This window comes from Homo sapiens, chromosome 2 (genome assembly GCF_000001405.40).
Source record: "Homo sapiens chromosome 2, GRCh38.p14 Primary Assembly".
Taxonomy (NCBI): domain Eukaryota; kingdom Metazoa; phylum Chordata; class Mammalia; order Primates; family Hominidae; genus Homo; species Homo sapiens.
This window is the reverse complement of record NC_000002.12, coordinates 73,167,671-73,183,118: the sequence shown is the minus strand read 5'-3', so window position 1 is coordinate 73,183,118 and position 15,448 is coordinate 73,167,671. Positions and strand designations below refer to the sequence as shown.

The window sequence follows — 15,448 nt, the reverse complement described above, 5'->3', positions numbered from 1 at the left end:
CTCCCACGTAGCTGGGATTACAGGCATGCGCCACCACACCCGGCTAATTTTTGTATTTTTACTAGAGACAGGGTTTCACCATGTTGGCCAGGCTGTCTCAAACTCCTGACCTCAGGTGATCCACCCACCTCGGCCTCCCAAAGTGCTGTGATTACAGTCGTGAGCCACCACTCCCAGCCAAATATATTTGTTTTTCTTCCTTTCTTTCTTTTTCTTTCTTTCTTTTCTTTCTTTCTTCCTTTCTTTCTTTTTCTTTCTTTCTTTCTCTTTTCTTTCTTTCTTTTCTCTCTCTCTCTCTCTTTCTTTCTTTCTTTCTTTCTTTCTTTCCTTCTTCCTTTCTTCCTTTCTTTCTTTTTTTGGATGGAGTCTCACTCTGCACTCTGTCACCCAGGCTGGAGCGCAGCAACACAATTTCAGCTCACTGCATCCTCTGCCTCCCAGGTTCAAGTGATTCTCCTTCCTTAGCCTCTCGAGTAGCTGGGACTACAGGTGCGTTCCACTATGCCCAGCTAATTTTTGGTTTTTGTTTGTTTGTTTCTGAGATAGCGTCCCACTTTGTCATCCAGGCTGGAGTGCAGTGGTGCGATCTCTGCTCACTGCAACTTCCACCTCCCAGGTTCAGTCAATTCTCCTGCCTCAGCCTCCCAAGTAGTTGGGATTACAGGTAGGTGCCGCCCGCTCGGCTACTTCTTGTATTTTTAGTAGAGACAGGGTTTTGCCATGTTGCCCAGGCTGGTCTCAAACTCTTGGGCTTAAGTGATCTGCCCATCTTAGCCTCCCAAAGTTCTGGGGCTACAGGCATGAACTTGAGCTACCGCACCTGGCCAAAACTTGTAGCTTTTTTTTTTTTAAATAATTGTATGTGCTAGACTTTTTTTATATGTATACTTTAAGTTCTAGGGTACATGTGCACAACGTGCAGGTTTGTTACATATGTATACATGTGCCATGTTGGCGTGCTGCACCCATTAACTCGTCATTTACATTAGGTATATCTCCTAATGCTATCCCTCCCCGCTCCTCCCACCCCACAACAGGCCCCAGTGTGTGATGTTCCCCTTCCTGTGTCCAAGTGTTCTCATTGTTCAATTCCCACCTATGAGTGAGAACATGTGGTGTTTGGTTTTCTGTCCTTGTGACAGTTTGCTGAGAATGATGGTTTCCAGCTTCATCCATGTCCCTACAAAGGACATGAACTCATCCTTTTTTATGGCTGCATAGTATTCCATGGTGTATATGTGCCACATTTTCTTAATCCAGTCTATCACTGATGGACATTTGGGTTGGTTCCAAGTCTTTTCTATTGTGAACAGTGCCGCAATAAACATACGTGTGCATGTGTCTTTATAGCAGCATGATTTATAATCCTTTGGGTATATACCCAGTAATGGGATGGCTGGGTCAAATGGTATTTCTAGTTCTAGATCCTTGAGGAATCACCACACTGTCTTCCACAATGGTTGAACTAGTTTACAGTCCCACCAACAGTGTAAAAGTGTTCCTGTTTCTCCACATCCTCTCCAGCACCCCTTGTTTCCTGACTTTTTAATGATTGCCATTCTAACTGGTGTGAGATGGTATCTCATTGTGGTTTTGATTTGCATTCCTTTGATGGCCAGTGATGATGAGCATTGTTTCATGTGTCTGTTGGCTGCATAAATGTCTTCTTTTGAGAAGTATCTGTTCGTATCCTTCGCCCACTTTTTGATGGGATTGTTTGATTTTTTCTTGTAAATTTGTTTAAGTTCTTTGTAGATTCTGGATATTAGCCCTTTGTCCAATGGGTAGATTGCAAAAATTTTCTCCCATTCTGTAGATTGCCTGTTCACTCTGATGGTCGTTTCTTTTGCTGTGCAGAAGCTCTTTAGTTTAATGAGATCCCATTTGTCAATTTTGGCTTTTGTTGCCATTGCTTTTGGTGTTTTAGACATGAAGTTGCCCATGCCTATGTCCTGAATGGTATTGCCTAGGTTTTCTTCTAGGGTTTTTATGGTTTTAGGTCTAACATTTAAGTCTTTAATCCATCTTGAATTAATTTTTGTATAAGGTGTAAGGAAGGGATCCAGTTTTAGCTTTCTACATATGGCTAGGCAGTTTTCCCAGCATCGTTTATTAAATAGGGAATCCTTTCCCCATTTCTTGTTTTTGTCAGGTTTGTCAAAGATCAGATGGTTGTAGATGTGTGGTATTATTTCTGAGGGCTCTGTTCTGTTCCATTGGTCTACATCTCTGTTTTGGTACCAGCACCATGCTCTTTTGGTTACTGTAGCCTTGTAGTATAGTTTGAAGTCAGGTAGTGTGATGCCTCCAGCTTTGTTCTTTTGGCTTAGGATTATCTTGGCAATGTGGGCTCTTTTTTGGTTCCATATGAACTGTGAAGTGAAAAACTTGTAGCTTTTCTAAGCAAACATAAATACCTGCACTCTGGCAAGCTCCTCTACCTACCTGCCTACCTCCAAATCTTATATTTAGTTCATCATTTACTTCAGTGATGCGCAACCTTTTTCTGCATTTAGGAACACCTTTTTTTCTTTGAGACGGATTCTCGCTCTGTCGCCAAGGCTGGAGTGCAGTGGCACGATCTTGGCTCACTGCAACCTCTGCCTCCTGGGTTCAAGCGATTCTCCTGCCTCAGCCTCCCAAGTAGCTGGGATTACAACCACCACACCCAGCTAATTTTTGTATTTTTATTAGAGACAGAGTTTCACCATGTTGGCTAGGCTGGTCTCAAGTGATCCGTCCACCTCAGCCTCCCAAAGTGCTGGGATTACAGGCATGAACCACCGTGCCCATCCCCTATTTTTAAACGATTTTTTTTTTAAATTTTGGATCTCAGAAGCAGAGGGCTGAGATATTCTCTCCTGCTCTTTTGTGGGCATTGCCATCAGAGGTCCACACTAGACCCCACTCTTCATTCTGGCTTTTTCTCTTTCCCCCTATTTCCTCCTCCTCTCCTAGTAAGCCCTTCTCTTGTGTATTTGCTATTATTTATGGATCCATGTAAAATGTGCAGGGCTGTTCTGTATTTGTTTTTAATTTACATAAATGGTATTGTGTATAAATCTCTTTTTTAAAACTATTTTTAAAGTCTCTCTTTGGTGCTGTATGCATGGAAGTTTCATTGCTTCTAATAGCTGTTTTCTAGTATTTCACGTTGCAGATGAAAAGTCGGCTGTCAGGTTAACTATTTGCAGAAAATCTTTCTGTTGTTAAAAAGTTTGGAAGGTTTTTTTCTTTATCATCAGTATTCAAAAGCTTCAGGAAGATGATTGGGTGTGTATCTTCTCTCCACATGCCTTTCCAGCTGTAGGCAACAGGCAGTTGGAGGGGGTAGTTATCAATTGAGTTTTGCTTGTGTTGAGTCTGAGGTGTCTGAGAAACATCCTAGTGGAGATACCTAACCAGAAGTTAGATAACAGAAGTTGTCTGGACTGGATATAGATTTGGGAGTCATCTGCATGTGGGTTCTAGTTTGAAAAGAAAAATGAATGGATAAGCTCAGAGATGGAGGAGAATTGGTCAAGCAGGAAGATGAGTGGGCCAAGTTGCCAAAAGCAGAGGATCTATTACTATCAGTGACCAATGGTTTTCCTCCCCTTTCTTCTTTTTTTAAAACCATAATAAAATATTTCGAACACCAAGAAAGTTATAGATAAAAATGTAAGTACTCAAGAACTCACCATTCATCATTCTTGACTGTAGGTTTTGCCACTTTTACATGAGTTTTTTTTTTTTTAAATAAAAGCACATTGCAGACACATATGGGGCCTTTTGTACCCCTCTCCAGTCCTATTTGCTGGAGTCACCTCCAAATCTAATTTGGTATTATTTACACTCACAGACTCATACAATTCCTCCATATTTATTGACCCATAAGTAGCTTATAGAAGTATTTTGTATGCTTTTAAACTTCATATATGGGGCCAGGCACGGTGGCTTATGCCTGTAATGCCAGCACTTTGGGAGGCCAAAGCAGGAGGATTGCTTGAGCCCAGGAGTTTGAGACCAGCCTGGAGAACATAGTGAGACCCTGTCTCCAAAAATGTTTTTATTAAAATTATAAATATAAATTTAAAAAAGAAAAAACTTCATATATGTAGTATCATACTGTACTAATGCTTCAGCTTGCCTCTTTCACTCAGACTGTTTGCAAGTTTTATGTACATAACCCTAGTTTATTAATTTTCATTGCTATAGAGTATTCCAAAGATGAATATATTACACTTTGTTTATCCAGTTATACTGTTAGTGGATATTTGGTTGTGTCCAGTTTTTGGTTAACAGTGCTACAAAGGATAGCACCTGCTGCTCTGGGCTGACCGCCACACTCAGGCAGTTCTGGGAGTTGATTGGAGATCCCTGAAGGAGGTAAGGGCTGCTTCAGAGACCGCTAATGGAGCATCTGCTATATGCTAGATATTGCAAAATTGTAGCCCTTAATCCTCTCCACAACCTATGAAAATCACAACACCCCCCCCCCCTTTTTTTTTTTTTTTTTTGAGACAGAGTCTCACTGTCAACCCAGGCTGGAGTGCAGTAGTGTGATCACATGGCTCACTGCAGCCTTGACCTCCTAGTCAAGCCATACTCCCTTAGCCTCCCAAGCGATTCTCCCACCTCAGCCTCCCTAGTACCTGTGACTACAAGACGCATCACCATGCCGGGCTAATTGTTTTTTTTTTTTTTTTTTTTTTGGAGAGACAGGGTTTCGCCATGTTGCCCAGGCTGTTCTCAAACTCCTGGGCTCAAGCAGTCAGCCCTCCTCGGCTTTCCAACGTGCTACGATTACGGGCAGGAGCCACCGACCCCGCCGAAAAATCACCAATCTTTATAAGGAACACAAGGCTCAGAAACAGGGGTAACACAACTAGTCCAGGTCACGCAGCTAGTAAGTGGCAGAAGGGGGGGGGCACCCTCTCATCCCTCCAGGCTCCTCTGGCCCTGACCTTGCATTGTCCCTCCTTCCCCAGCGAACGCACTGCCTCAGCTCCCCTCTTACAGCCGCAGCCCTGGAGGAAGGGATGCTTCTGGAACTGCTGGGGTTGGTGCTCCGCAGTTGACCGGGACATTCCTGGGTTTGGTGCTGGGATGGAACCTGTCAGTGCCTACTGCCTGGGTATACTCCACCCAGGGGCAGAACAGGTGACTCACAGCACTGCCCAGCACAGAGCTAGGCCTGTGCCTGTTTTGGGGGTCCAGGTTCCTGGGTGCCAGAACCCCATTTTCTCAGTCTCCACAGAGCTGTACGAGGGGTACAGTGCCCTGGAGAATTTAAGCCCTTCATTAATGGTTTGTAAAAGTCTGGACTTCCTTTTGGGAAACCTGGGCTCCAGTCCTGCTGCTTGATGCAGGAACGTCACTGAGGTCCCCTGAAAAGTGGGGTGATAGTGTCAGGTGGTACTGAGCCCAGTGATGGAGGCAGCAATTTGTTTTGTAAGTGCCTGCGGCTCCTGGGCGCAGTCCCAGCGAGGACGCGAGAACGCGCGGGGATGTGAACGGTGGGGGGCGCCCGGAACCGAGGAGCTGAAGGGCCCGGCGGACGTAGGCCGTCATTTCTCGCGGCGAGCAGCAGGGGGCGCGCGCAGACTGTACAATGCTGGCGCCCCACCTCCCGGCAGCGGGCGGGGACGCATCCCGCGGGTCTCTAGAGCGGGAGATCGCGCGGGAAAGGGCCGTGCCGGGAAGGGGCTGTGCCGGGAAGGAGCGGAGGGATCAGTGCTTCGAAGGGATCTGTACGCCAAGATGATCCTAACTCCTTAGGAGCTTCGAAGCTACGGGAAATGAAGCTGGAACGGGGGAGAGGGGGAAGGGCGCTGTGCCCCGGGGGCGGTAAAGGATGGGTGGTGGTGGGGAACGGGGACACTGTCGAGCGCTGACTACCGCTGCGCTCGGGCTGGTGGAGTCACTGCTTCCTAACTGTGGGGAAGAAACAAACATTCCCCGCCCCTCCTCCCAGGAGGAAGAGCCGGTCACTTCTGGAAGTCCCAGCAGCTCACTACGGAACTTAGGGGAGGGTGAAGAAGAGAAGGCGTAGAGCGGGGAAGTGGCTTGGTCAGTTCAGAAGCACCAATAGCATAGGACTTCATAACCTTCCAAGAAGAGGGCTGGTTACAAAGCGTCTTCGCCTCCCAGGGGCTGGGTTGGGGGTGTCCCAGGAGCCAGAGTGAGGCATGAGTGGGGAGTCCCTGCGTCACTCCAGAGAGGAGGCCCGCTTGGGCACAGGTGCCCCAGGGACCAGCCTACTGCGCTTTCAAGCCCCTACGTCTTTCTAAGGGATGAGGGATCCTATCCTAGACCAAACCTGCCAGCCCATACTGAACATACCGCCTTTCTTTGAAAGAAAAGTGGGGGGGAGGCTAAAGACCTTCGCAGAGGGACCCTGAGATGGAATCAGATGCTAAATTTGCGCACAGCCCTCTGAGCTGGAAAACTGGAGAACTTCCTGGAGGAAGAGGCTGGGAGCTAGCTGTGCCTTGATAGGTGGGCAGAATTTGGAGAAGCCAGGGCAAAGTCTTGTTTGTAGGAATGAGCAGTCCGCCTGGGAAACGGGAAAGAGTTGGAATTTGCGGGGCGGGAGGGCAGGGGCAGGGCCAGAGGAACTCTAGCTGGGGGTGCGGCTACCAGGAGAGGAGCTGGTTCTGGAGTTCTAGGCTGTCCTTCCGACCTCTGGGGGCCCTGAGATCTGGTTTAAGACTCGGTCTTGTACCCTGGGGCTGCTGGATGCCTGCCGAAGTCTCGCTTCCCGGAGCAGCTGAGGACTCAGCCCTGCGGCTGAGGTCCGCGAGTTCCCTGGACATCACCGGGTGTCGTGCCCGCCGCCCCGCCCTGCGGTCGCGGGCACTGACCCCCAAGTACGCACCGGGCGGGGCCCCGCCACTCTCCAGTCTTCACACCTCCGCCTTTGGGTCTTTTTCCTTCCCTTCCCCAACCGGTTCCCCTTCCCCTCGACCCACTAGGCAGACGGGGAACTAGGGGTGCGGGAGACGGGAGGGTTAGAACCAGGCCTCAAGACGGCGCGGCGAGGTGTGCCTGAGGATGGGGCGAAAGGAGACCGTGCCCGGGTGGCCTCTCCCGAAGGAAAAACCCGTCGCTCCCCATCCGGTGCCTGCCTCCCCGAGTATCCCCCGGGGTGGGCGTCGAGGGCACCCGGGCGCTGGGAGCCGGGGCCGCCCCCTTCCCCCACCACCGAGTCACTGCCGGGCAGGCACCGCCGCGGGCGGAATCGAGCACTGGGGATTGAGGCGGCCGCCGCGTGTTTGCCCAGCGCCCGCCCCCGCCGCCGCGGGCCCTAATCTCCGATACACTTGCGAGTTGGCTTCCTGCCCCGGGGCCCCGGCTCTGCAAGCAAACAGGCCGAGCGCGGCGCTGCATCCGAAATGCGGCATTTGAGCAGCGCGGCGAAGGCGAGCGGGGGAGCGGCCCACCCGGGTAATTGCCCTTCTCGGCTCCTAATCCCCCCGCCGGGCCCCTTCCGCCGGCTGCAGCCCATTGATTAGCTCAGGAGCCGCCGGCTCAACCCAGCTCCCGAGGGGCCATCACAATCCCCACCCTGGGCCCGGGAGGCTGTCAGGACCCCCGCGGGGTCCTTCCGGACTCAGAGCGGGAGCGTGCTCCTGGAAAGGGCAGTGAGATCGCCAGGGAAAAGATGGGGTGGGGGAGAAAGGGGACGTCCAAAAACTTGCAATGGAGCCCAGGCCATGCACGCCCCAGGCCGAGAAAGGCGGGACCTCAGACCCTGCTGTCCCGGTGAAGGAGACAGTGCAGAGGGCCCTTGAGCGCGACTGGGCTTGACACCCCTGAGAGCTCACTGTGGAGCCCGGGTTAGGAGATCCCCAACCACCCAAACACAAATCACCCTCAAGACCCCGTACTTATGCGGTGGCCTGAGCCTGCTTCCTGTGGTCTGCCCAGAGAAACCTGGGCCTCACAGGAGAGGAATGCCAAGTGCTTCAAGCTGGGAAATTGACATGGTCCATTCTACAAAATAGAGCTCAGTGCAGATGAGGAGAGAAATAGGGTTCTATGGAGCCTTTCGGGGCAAACCCACTGATGACTGGGTGATAGCTTCACAGGGACAAGACCCAGTTGCCATCTGGGGTGAGTTTTGTTTCTTCCCTCCCACCTTTCAGCTTCCTATCTGAGCCTGAACTTACACCCCTTCCCCCTCCCAGAATAGCCACCCCAGGCCAGGAAAACTGAGCATTTGCCTACTGAGTCGACCTCCCTGAGTCTAGGCCCACAGTTCAAAGCCTGACTTCTCTGTGCAGGGGCAAGGCTTGCTGCGGGGCCCTCTGGGATCTGGTGAGCAGGGGCCTTCTCTGACACCCTGAAACCTGGGAACAAACACTGGGGTTGGGGGCAGAGGCTGGGCCAATGTAGAACACAACAGCAGAGACACAGGAGAGAAATCAGGCTTCTGGCTAAGAGGAAACCATAGCAAACTAGACCCTCATGCCTCAGTGACCTCCCCTTGTATACCCTTGAACACGGCTGCACTAGGGTGAGGCAAGTGACGTTCCACTGAGGCACACATCTTAAGGAGGCACTCCCTCTCGAGGCCCTGTAAATGCAGGGCTAGCACCTGAGGGAGTGCGTCCTCCCCTCACTCTCATCCTTGGCCTGCCCTCATCTTGCCTAAGAGAGCTGTCCCCTGGCCTCAGATAGCTCCAGTCACTCCCATAACCTGTTGATTTGCCTCAGAGCCCCCCCATCACCTCGCCGTCATCCTCACTACTCACTCGGTTGGTACTGACTATATCTTAGGTGGAACAGCGCGAGGCAGGGACGTCATGCTTTGCAGTCACTGCCAAGAGCAGTACCTGTGTTATTCAGACACAAAGCTAGGCTCTATTCAGACATGGAGTGCTGAATAATACCTGAGTGAGTAAATACCATGTGTCTGCCACCCTCTTCTCCCTGAGGCCTGCCTGAATACTTTCCCCTAGACACGGCTGGCTGCAGTGGGCACTTCTAGGTTGCTCGCTTTACCTCAAGCCCCTTTTAATACTCAGGCCCCGCTGCCTGAGCGTGAGTTTGCACAATTGGTGCGTGCTTGCTCTCACATCTAGTTCTATGTCCTGTTTCTCTTTCCAGCCAAATGCTGAGCTCCCTGAGGGCAGGGACCAAGCCTGTCCTGGAACTCCTTATCTGCCCTGTATGATGAACCCCAAGGCCCTCTCACCCACCTCTGAAGACTGGTCAGACAAGTCCTCCTAATGCCTATTTCTGGTTGAGGAGAGGGTGATCCAGGTCATGTGTTTCTACGTTGACAGAGATGTGTGGAAGCCAAGGTTCTGGGTCCTAGAAGCCTCTCTTTGTGCATGGACTATGAGATCTCGTCATACTCAGTAATCACATCAGGCAAATTATGAAGATTCGGCCGGGCGCGGTAGCTCACACCTGTAATCCCAGCAGTTTGGGAGGCTGAGGCAGGCAGATCACTTGAGGTCAGGAGTTCGTGACCAGCCTGGCCAATATGGTGAAACCTTGTCTCCACCAAAAATACAAGAATTAGGCCAGGTGCGGTGGCTCACGCTTGTAATCTCAGCACTTTGGGAGGCCGAGGCAGGCGGATCACCTGAGGTCAGGTGTTTGGGACCAGCCTGGCCAACATGGCGAAACCCCATCTCTACTAAAAATACAAAAATTGGCTGGTCGTGGTGGTGGGTGCCTGTAATCCCAGCTACTCGGGAGGCTGAGGCAGGAGAATCACTTGAACCCAGGAAACAGAGGTTGCAGTGGGCCGAGATCGTACCACTGTGCTCCAGCCTGGGAGACAGAGCAAGAGTCTGTCAAAAAAAAAAAAAATTGTGAAGACTCAATACTCTCTGACTCACTATTATGTAGGTATGGGCTGGCGGAGGTTTCTCAGCCCTTCTCATGGCCCCAACTCTAATGAATGTGAAACTGCACATGTGAGTGGGCGGGAGTGTGCATATCTGTTGGGGTGTGTGTGTGTGTGTGTGGTGTCTGCTATATTCGAATATGTGTGCGCCTGGGGAGCTGTGTGCGTGTGAGTGGTGTGTGTGGATTCTGTTGGATATGAGTGTAGGTTTGTGGAGGTGTTGGCGGGTGTGTGTGTCTGCTGAGTGTGGGTGTGCATGTATTTTCTCTGGGGCTGTGTCTGTGTTTTTGTAGTGTTTGCTAAGGGTGAGGGTAAGTGGTATCTATGGGGCATGTCTGCAGAGTGTGTGTGGTGCTGGCTGCAATGTATGCATGCAACGTCTGCTCTGTGTGCATGTATGGGGCTGGGGTGCCTGCAGGCTGCATCATAATGCCATAAAATGCCTGGTGAAATCCCCCTACCAGTGACTGTGCTGGCCAGAGGCTGCCCCTTAGAGGCAAGCAGGGAAGGTCTGGGAAGTCCCCTGTCTCAGGAAGCTGAGGGACCACAGTAATTGCTGTGCCCAGGGGCATGGAGACCCAGGCAGGGACAGGTGCTGGCTACAATAAGTAGACAAAGGCCAGTGCCTGGAAGTCTCGAATCCTATTGAATACAGATGGCAAGGCTGCATGCACAAAACAGATCCCAGGCAGGGGATAAGGATGGACATGTCAAGTCTGGGTCTCAATCCAGACAACATATTCAGGCTCAGGACAGTTCAGAAGGAGAGGAGCCCTGGGAGAAGGCTGAGCTCAGATGGTTGGGGCAGTTGGGGGAAAGAAGTGAGCTGGCTCTGGAGGGCCAGGCTACTCCATATGGCACCCTGCTGGGCAGAGGCAGCTCCATGCCAGGGCACAGGACTTGGTGAGGGGAACAGGAGCTGGACCTCAGTCCCATTGGCCCCCTGGCTGGGTGCCCTCTTACAGGGGCCCAACTGTACGTGGTGACCCTGGATGTTGGCCTGGGAACCTGTGATCTTCTACTACATCTGGGGCTGGCAGAGGACTCGGGGGCTGAGAAGGAGACATGGTCTCACGATTTGGAGGAGAGAGAAGGCTTGACCAGAAGGGACTGGCTGTGCAGCAGGATAGCTGGAGGCCTATTGGCTGGGCATCCTGTCTCCTGGGTCCTGGGCCGGTCTTGGCAGCAAAGTCAGGGCAGATAGCACCAGCAAGCCACAACCATCCTGCTCCACAGAGTGCTAGAACAGCCACTCATCAGTTACAGCAGGACTATAACGACGACCAAGAAGAGAAGACAAAACAGAAGAGGGTAGGTAGACCAGAAAGAGTGTTCAGAAAGAAGCTTGAAAGAGGAGAGGAGAGACACTCCTGAGTAGTAGCACCAACCTACCAGCTAGATTTGTAACTTCCAACTACTACTTTCTGGCCTCAGTTTTGTCACCTGACTAAGAGGGTTGGAATAAAACGAATTTAAGTCTCTTTTACCTTTGACTAGGACTGACCCAGGCTGGCCTTTCACCAGCTCCTGTCCCCATTTCCAAGGGAAGCTGGGTGGGGGGTAGAGGGTGTGGACGACTCAGTGTGGTCCATCCTCAGACCAAAAACCCAGCTAGGGGCCCACACATTACTGTCTGAAACACCATGCTCAGGTGTGAACAAAGATGCTTGGTTACTGTGGACTTTTAGTTCCAAGGAGGGCTGTGTCTTTCTTAACTCAATGGAAGAATCAAATTAGGAGCCTGGCTGGGCATGGTGACTCACACCTGTAATCCAGCACTTTGGGAGGCTGAGACAAGAGGATCACTTGAAATCAGGAGTTCAAGACCAGCCTGGGCAACACAGCGAGACCCCATCTCTTAAAAAAAAAAATAGGAGCCCACATCTTCAGATTCCCAGGGCTGAGATTCTGGGAAACTCAGCCAAACTCCAGAGCTGATGCAAGTAGCAAAGGACCTTTTTTTTGGTCACTGGAGCCTGGAGGACAGACAAGGGCAAGAGGCAGAGAATTCCAGCCTTTACAGGTCACAGAGAAAGTGGAGGAGGAGGAGGTAGCTGATGCCTCCACACCCAGGAGGGAGGGGGAAATGATGAGCAAGATTTTTCACCCTTTCAGTAAAACAAAAAAAATTATTTCTCCTATTTCCTTCTCTGAGATTAATGATAAACTGTCTATCCCCTAAAAGAAAATGATAAAGACTCTAATTTTACTTGGAGGCTTAGAAATGCCATTTCTACACAAAACAGGGAGCCCATAATCAGACTTGAGCGGGGCAGAGCTTTGATAGAAAATGTTTTCCTCTCTCCCTCTATTTCTTCCCCTCCTTCCCCTTGCAAACCAAGATGCCCGACAGCTAAGAACAATGCTCAATAAAATGAAATAATATTTTAGTCAAAATAGGCCAAGACTGCTCCCAGCCAACTGTAAATTAGCATTTTGAGGGCAAATATGCAGACAATTTGAGATAATGAAGCCTGATTATTCAATCCAATGAATGTTAACTAGGGAGCAGAGGCTCCACTGCCTTATCTCACTCCCTTCGATTTATTTTTTTAATCGTTTCACATTTGAACTCTTTATTTGTTTCTGTTTTATGCGCCCCCTCCCTTCCTCTGTCACACACACACACACACACACACACAGTCTCCCTCCCTTCTCTCCTCCATTCCTGCCCAGGCTGCAGAAGGGGACCGTTGCAGGGGCCGTCAGTCTTTCCACCCAGCCTGGCCTTCGGGTTGGGGTCAGCACGCCCCATGGAGCCCCTACTGTGTGCATGGTCCTTTGTAGAGTTGCAGGGATTTGGGGGTCAATGTGCACTAAACAGATGACACACACCCTGCTTCTCAGGGCTTAGAACAGGCCTGGGTGCAGGAGCTGGAGAATGGCAGGTTTATAAAGGAACATGCCAGGTACATGTGGGGCTCAGGGAAGTGGGGGTGGAAGGACATTGCCTTTCATGTCCTTCAATCCACCCTCCATGAAAGGTCAATGTGGAGCACGCCCTGTCCCCAGGAGTCATGGAAAACTTTCTTAAATTATCCTTTGTCCCAGGCAGGACTCACTGCATAATTTGCAGGACCCAGTGCAAAATGAAATGCAGGGGAACTTGCCCAAAAATCATTGAGAATTTCAAGATAGTCATGGCAGAGCATTAAGACACCAAGCAGGGGACCTTCTGAGCTCGGGGCCTGGGCAACTGCGCACGCCACACACCCATGCAGCTGGCCTGCCTCCAGCAGCTAAGGGGCAGCCTCAGGCCAGTGGGAGGTAACATAATGAGGCCTTCTGAAGGAGGGTTGAAGCCCTTCTCAAGTGAAAAGAGAGGTTTCTGAGACGCTGGGGAGGGTCCCAGCTGACTGGGGCTAGCCCCTGGGGTTGCGGGGTGCCATAGGCAGGAGCCCCAATGCCTGAACAGCTGTCAGCATGGTGGTTTCCCCTTGGAGGTACCCATCCTTCAGCCTAGAGATGATGTTTACTTGGTGGTGGAAAGAACAGCTCCCAATTGGGCGAGGCTCCCAGCTGTTACGGTGCTCACCTGGCCTCAACCTCCTCCTTGGGTCCTAGCCCTGCTTTTTCCCTCACCAGTATGGCCTCCCAGTCCCTGCCCTGTCCCCATGAGCTCCTGCCTGGGTCCAGCCCCTGCAGCTGCCCTTCCCTCGGGGCCCCCTTACCACTCCTTTCAGTGTGTGTAGCAGGAAGTCCCCGCCTGAGCATGGCCTCCCACCTTGTCTGCTCTGCTCCTCAGCTTGCCCTCTCCCCACCAGACCTCCTGCTTGTCGAGTGCCCTGTCCATCACTCTCATCTTCCCGCTGCCTCTGCTCATGCTGGGCCCTCACCTGGGGGGTCTTCAGCCCCCTTCCGCCTCCTATCTCCTCTCTTTCCACCCATTTCTTCACACCCAGCCAAAGAAGGCAGCTCTGCCTTTTACCGGATGTGCTCTTGAGTGGGTGATTTCACCTCCTTGAGCTTTAGCTTCCCTGTGTGTAAATGGGATTGTAGTGGGGCCTGTCTCGTGAGGTGAGTGAGAAGACCAACCAAGCTGGTGTAAGTAAAGCCCCGACCCCGGGCTGGCCCACCTGAATGTGCATACCTGTTAGCTTGCACTCTGGGGAGCCTCTGGGAAGCTTCAGAATGCTACAGCCAGTTGGAACAGCTGCCCTCCTAGAACTTCCGTAGCCTTTGGAATCCTGGTCACGCAGTGTAGCCTGCATTCTTACACTGTTTCCTCCACCTGATAGAAGTTTCCCAAGAGTAGTGTGGTGAGCACTTAGGACGTGCTCCCTCAGCCTCCCATGCCACCCTCCTTTTGTCTGGAGAGGCTGGAAAATTAAGAGCTGCATCTCCCAGATTCCCTTGCAGCTAGGCTTCTGGAAGTGAACTGGGTGATACTGATCAGATAGACTCCTGAAACTCAGAAGGTGGACATGAGACTCTTTCCTGCCCTGGGTTTCTAATGGCTATCAAGATAGTAGAAACACAATTGCCTTTTTCTGCACCAGATTCCCATTGTCCATCCTCTAGCTTCTGGGTGTCAGGAGTCAAAAGCTGTTGTTTTGGTTTCAGTAATGGCTTGATTCTGGTCCTTCCTACCCTTCCTTCCTTCTTTCCTTCCTTCCTTCCTTCTTTCCTCCCTCTCTCCCTCCCTTTCTTTCTCTTTCTTTCTTCCTTTCCTTTCTTTCTCTCTCCCTCTTTCTCTTTCTTTCTTTCCCCTTCCTTCCTTCCTTCTTTCCTTCCTTTCCTTCCTGTCCCTTCCTTCCCTTCCCTCCCTTCCCCTTCCTTCCTTCCTTCTTTCCTTCCTTCCTTTTCCTTCCTTCCTTCCTTTTCCTTTTCCTTTCTTCTTTTCTTTTTTCTTTCAAGATAGAGTCTCACTCTGTTGCCCAGGCTGGAGTGCAGTGGTGCAATCATGACTCACTGCAGCCTCAACCTCCTGGGTTCAAGCGATCCTCCCACCTCAGCTTCCCAAGTAGCTGGGACTATAGGTGCCACCACGCCCAGCTAATTTTTACATTTTTTGTAGAGACGGGGTCTCAGCCTTCCGCTTCAGATTACTAGTATAAGCCACTGTGTCCAGCTGATTCTGGGTTTCTTGATCTCTGTATTGCAGCTACAGTGGTTTCAAACTCAATTCAAGGGGTGGTCTCAGAGGTTGTAGTGCCACTGGGAGTTAGTTCAGAATTCTGGAATTCCTTCCTGGATGTTCAGGTTAGAACCTACCATTCTGGCTTTTCCAAAAATTTCGAAAGTATCTAATTCTCTATTAAGTCTCTCTTTGGTGGGTCAGTGCAGTGGATCATGCCTGGAATCCCAGCATTTTGGGAGGCTGAGGTAGGAGGATCACTTGAGCCCAGAAGTTTGAGACCAGCCTGGGCAATATAGGAAGACCTCCCATTTCTACAAAAAATAAGTTTAAAAAATTAGCTGGGGCCAGGCATGGTGGCTCATGCCTGTAATCCCAGCACTTTGGGAGGCCCAGGTGGGCAGATTGCCAGGTCAAGAGATTGAGACCATCCTGGCCAACATGGTGAAACCCCGTCTCTACTAAAAATACAAAAATTAGCTGGGTATGGTGGCACCTGCCTGTAGTCCCAGCTACTCGGGAGGCCG

At 51.0% G+C, this 15,448-nt stretch overlaps 4 annotated features.

Moving 5' to 3' along the window:
• Positions 5,557 to 6,230: an enhancer, noted in NCBI's record as "H3K4me1 hESC enhancer chr2:73404017-73404690 (GRCh37/hg19 assembly coordinates)". NCBI's record gives its function as "activates a minimal SCP1, AML or CMV promoter by ChIP-STARR-seq in naive H9 embryonic stem cells {active_cell/tissue: H9 hESC(naive)}" and the evidence as "EXISTENCE:reporter gene assay evidence [ECO:0000049][PMID:30033119]".
• Positions 5,655 to 5,734: a silencer, noted in NCBI's record as "silent region_11635". NCBI's record gives its function as "represses an Ori minimal core promoter by ATAC-STARR-seq in GM12878 lymphoblastoid cells {active_cell/tissue: GM12878}" and the evidence as "EXISTENCE:reporter gene assay evidence [ECO:0000049][PMID:35858748]".
• Positions 6,231 to 6,904: an enhancer, noted in NCBI's record as "H3K4me1 hESC enhancer chr2:73403343-73404016 (GRCh37/hg19 assembly coordinates)". NCBI's record gives its function as "activates a minimal SCP1, AML or CMV promoter by ChIP-STARR-seq in naive H9 embryonic stem cells {active_cell/tissue: H9 hESC(naive)}" and the evidence as "EXISTENCE:reporter gene assay evidence [ECO:0000049][PMID:30033119]".
• Positions 7,040 to 7,259: a silencer, noted in NCBI's record as "silent region_11634". NCBI's record gives its function as "represses an Ori minimal core promoter by ATAC-STARR-seq in GM12878 lymphoblastoid cells {active_cell/tissue: GM12878}" and the evidence as "EXISTENCE:reporter gene assay evidence [ECO:0000049][PMID:35858748]".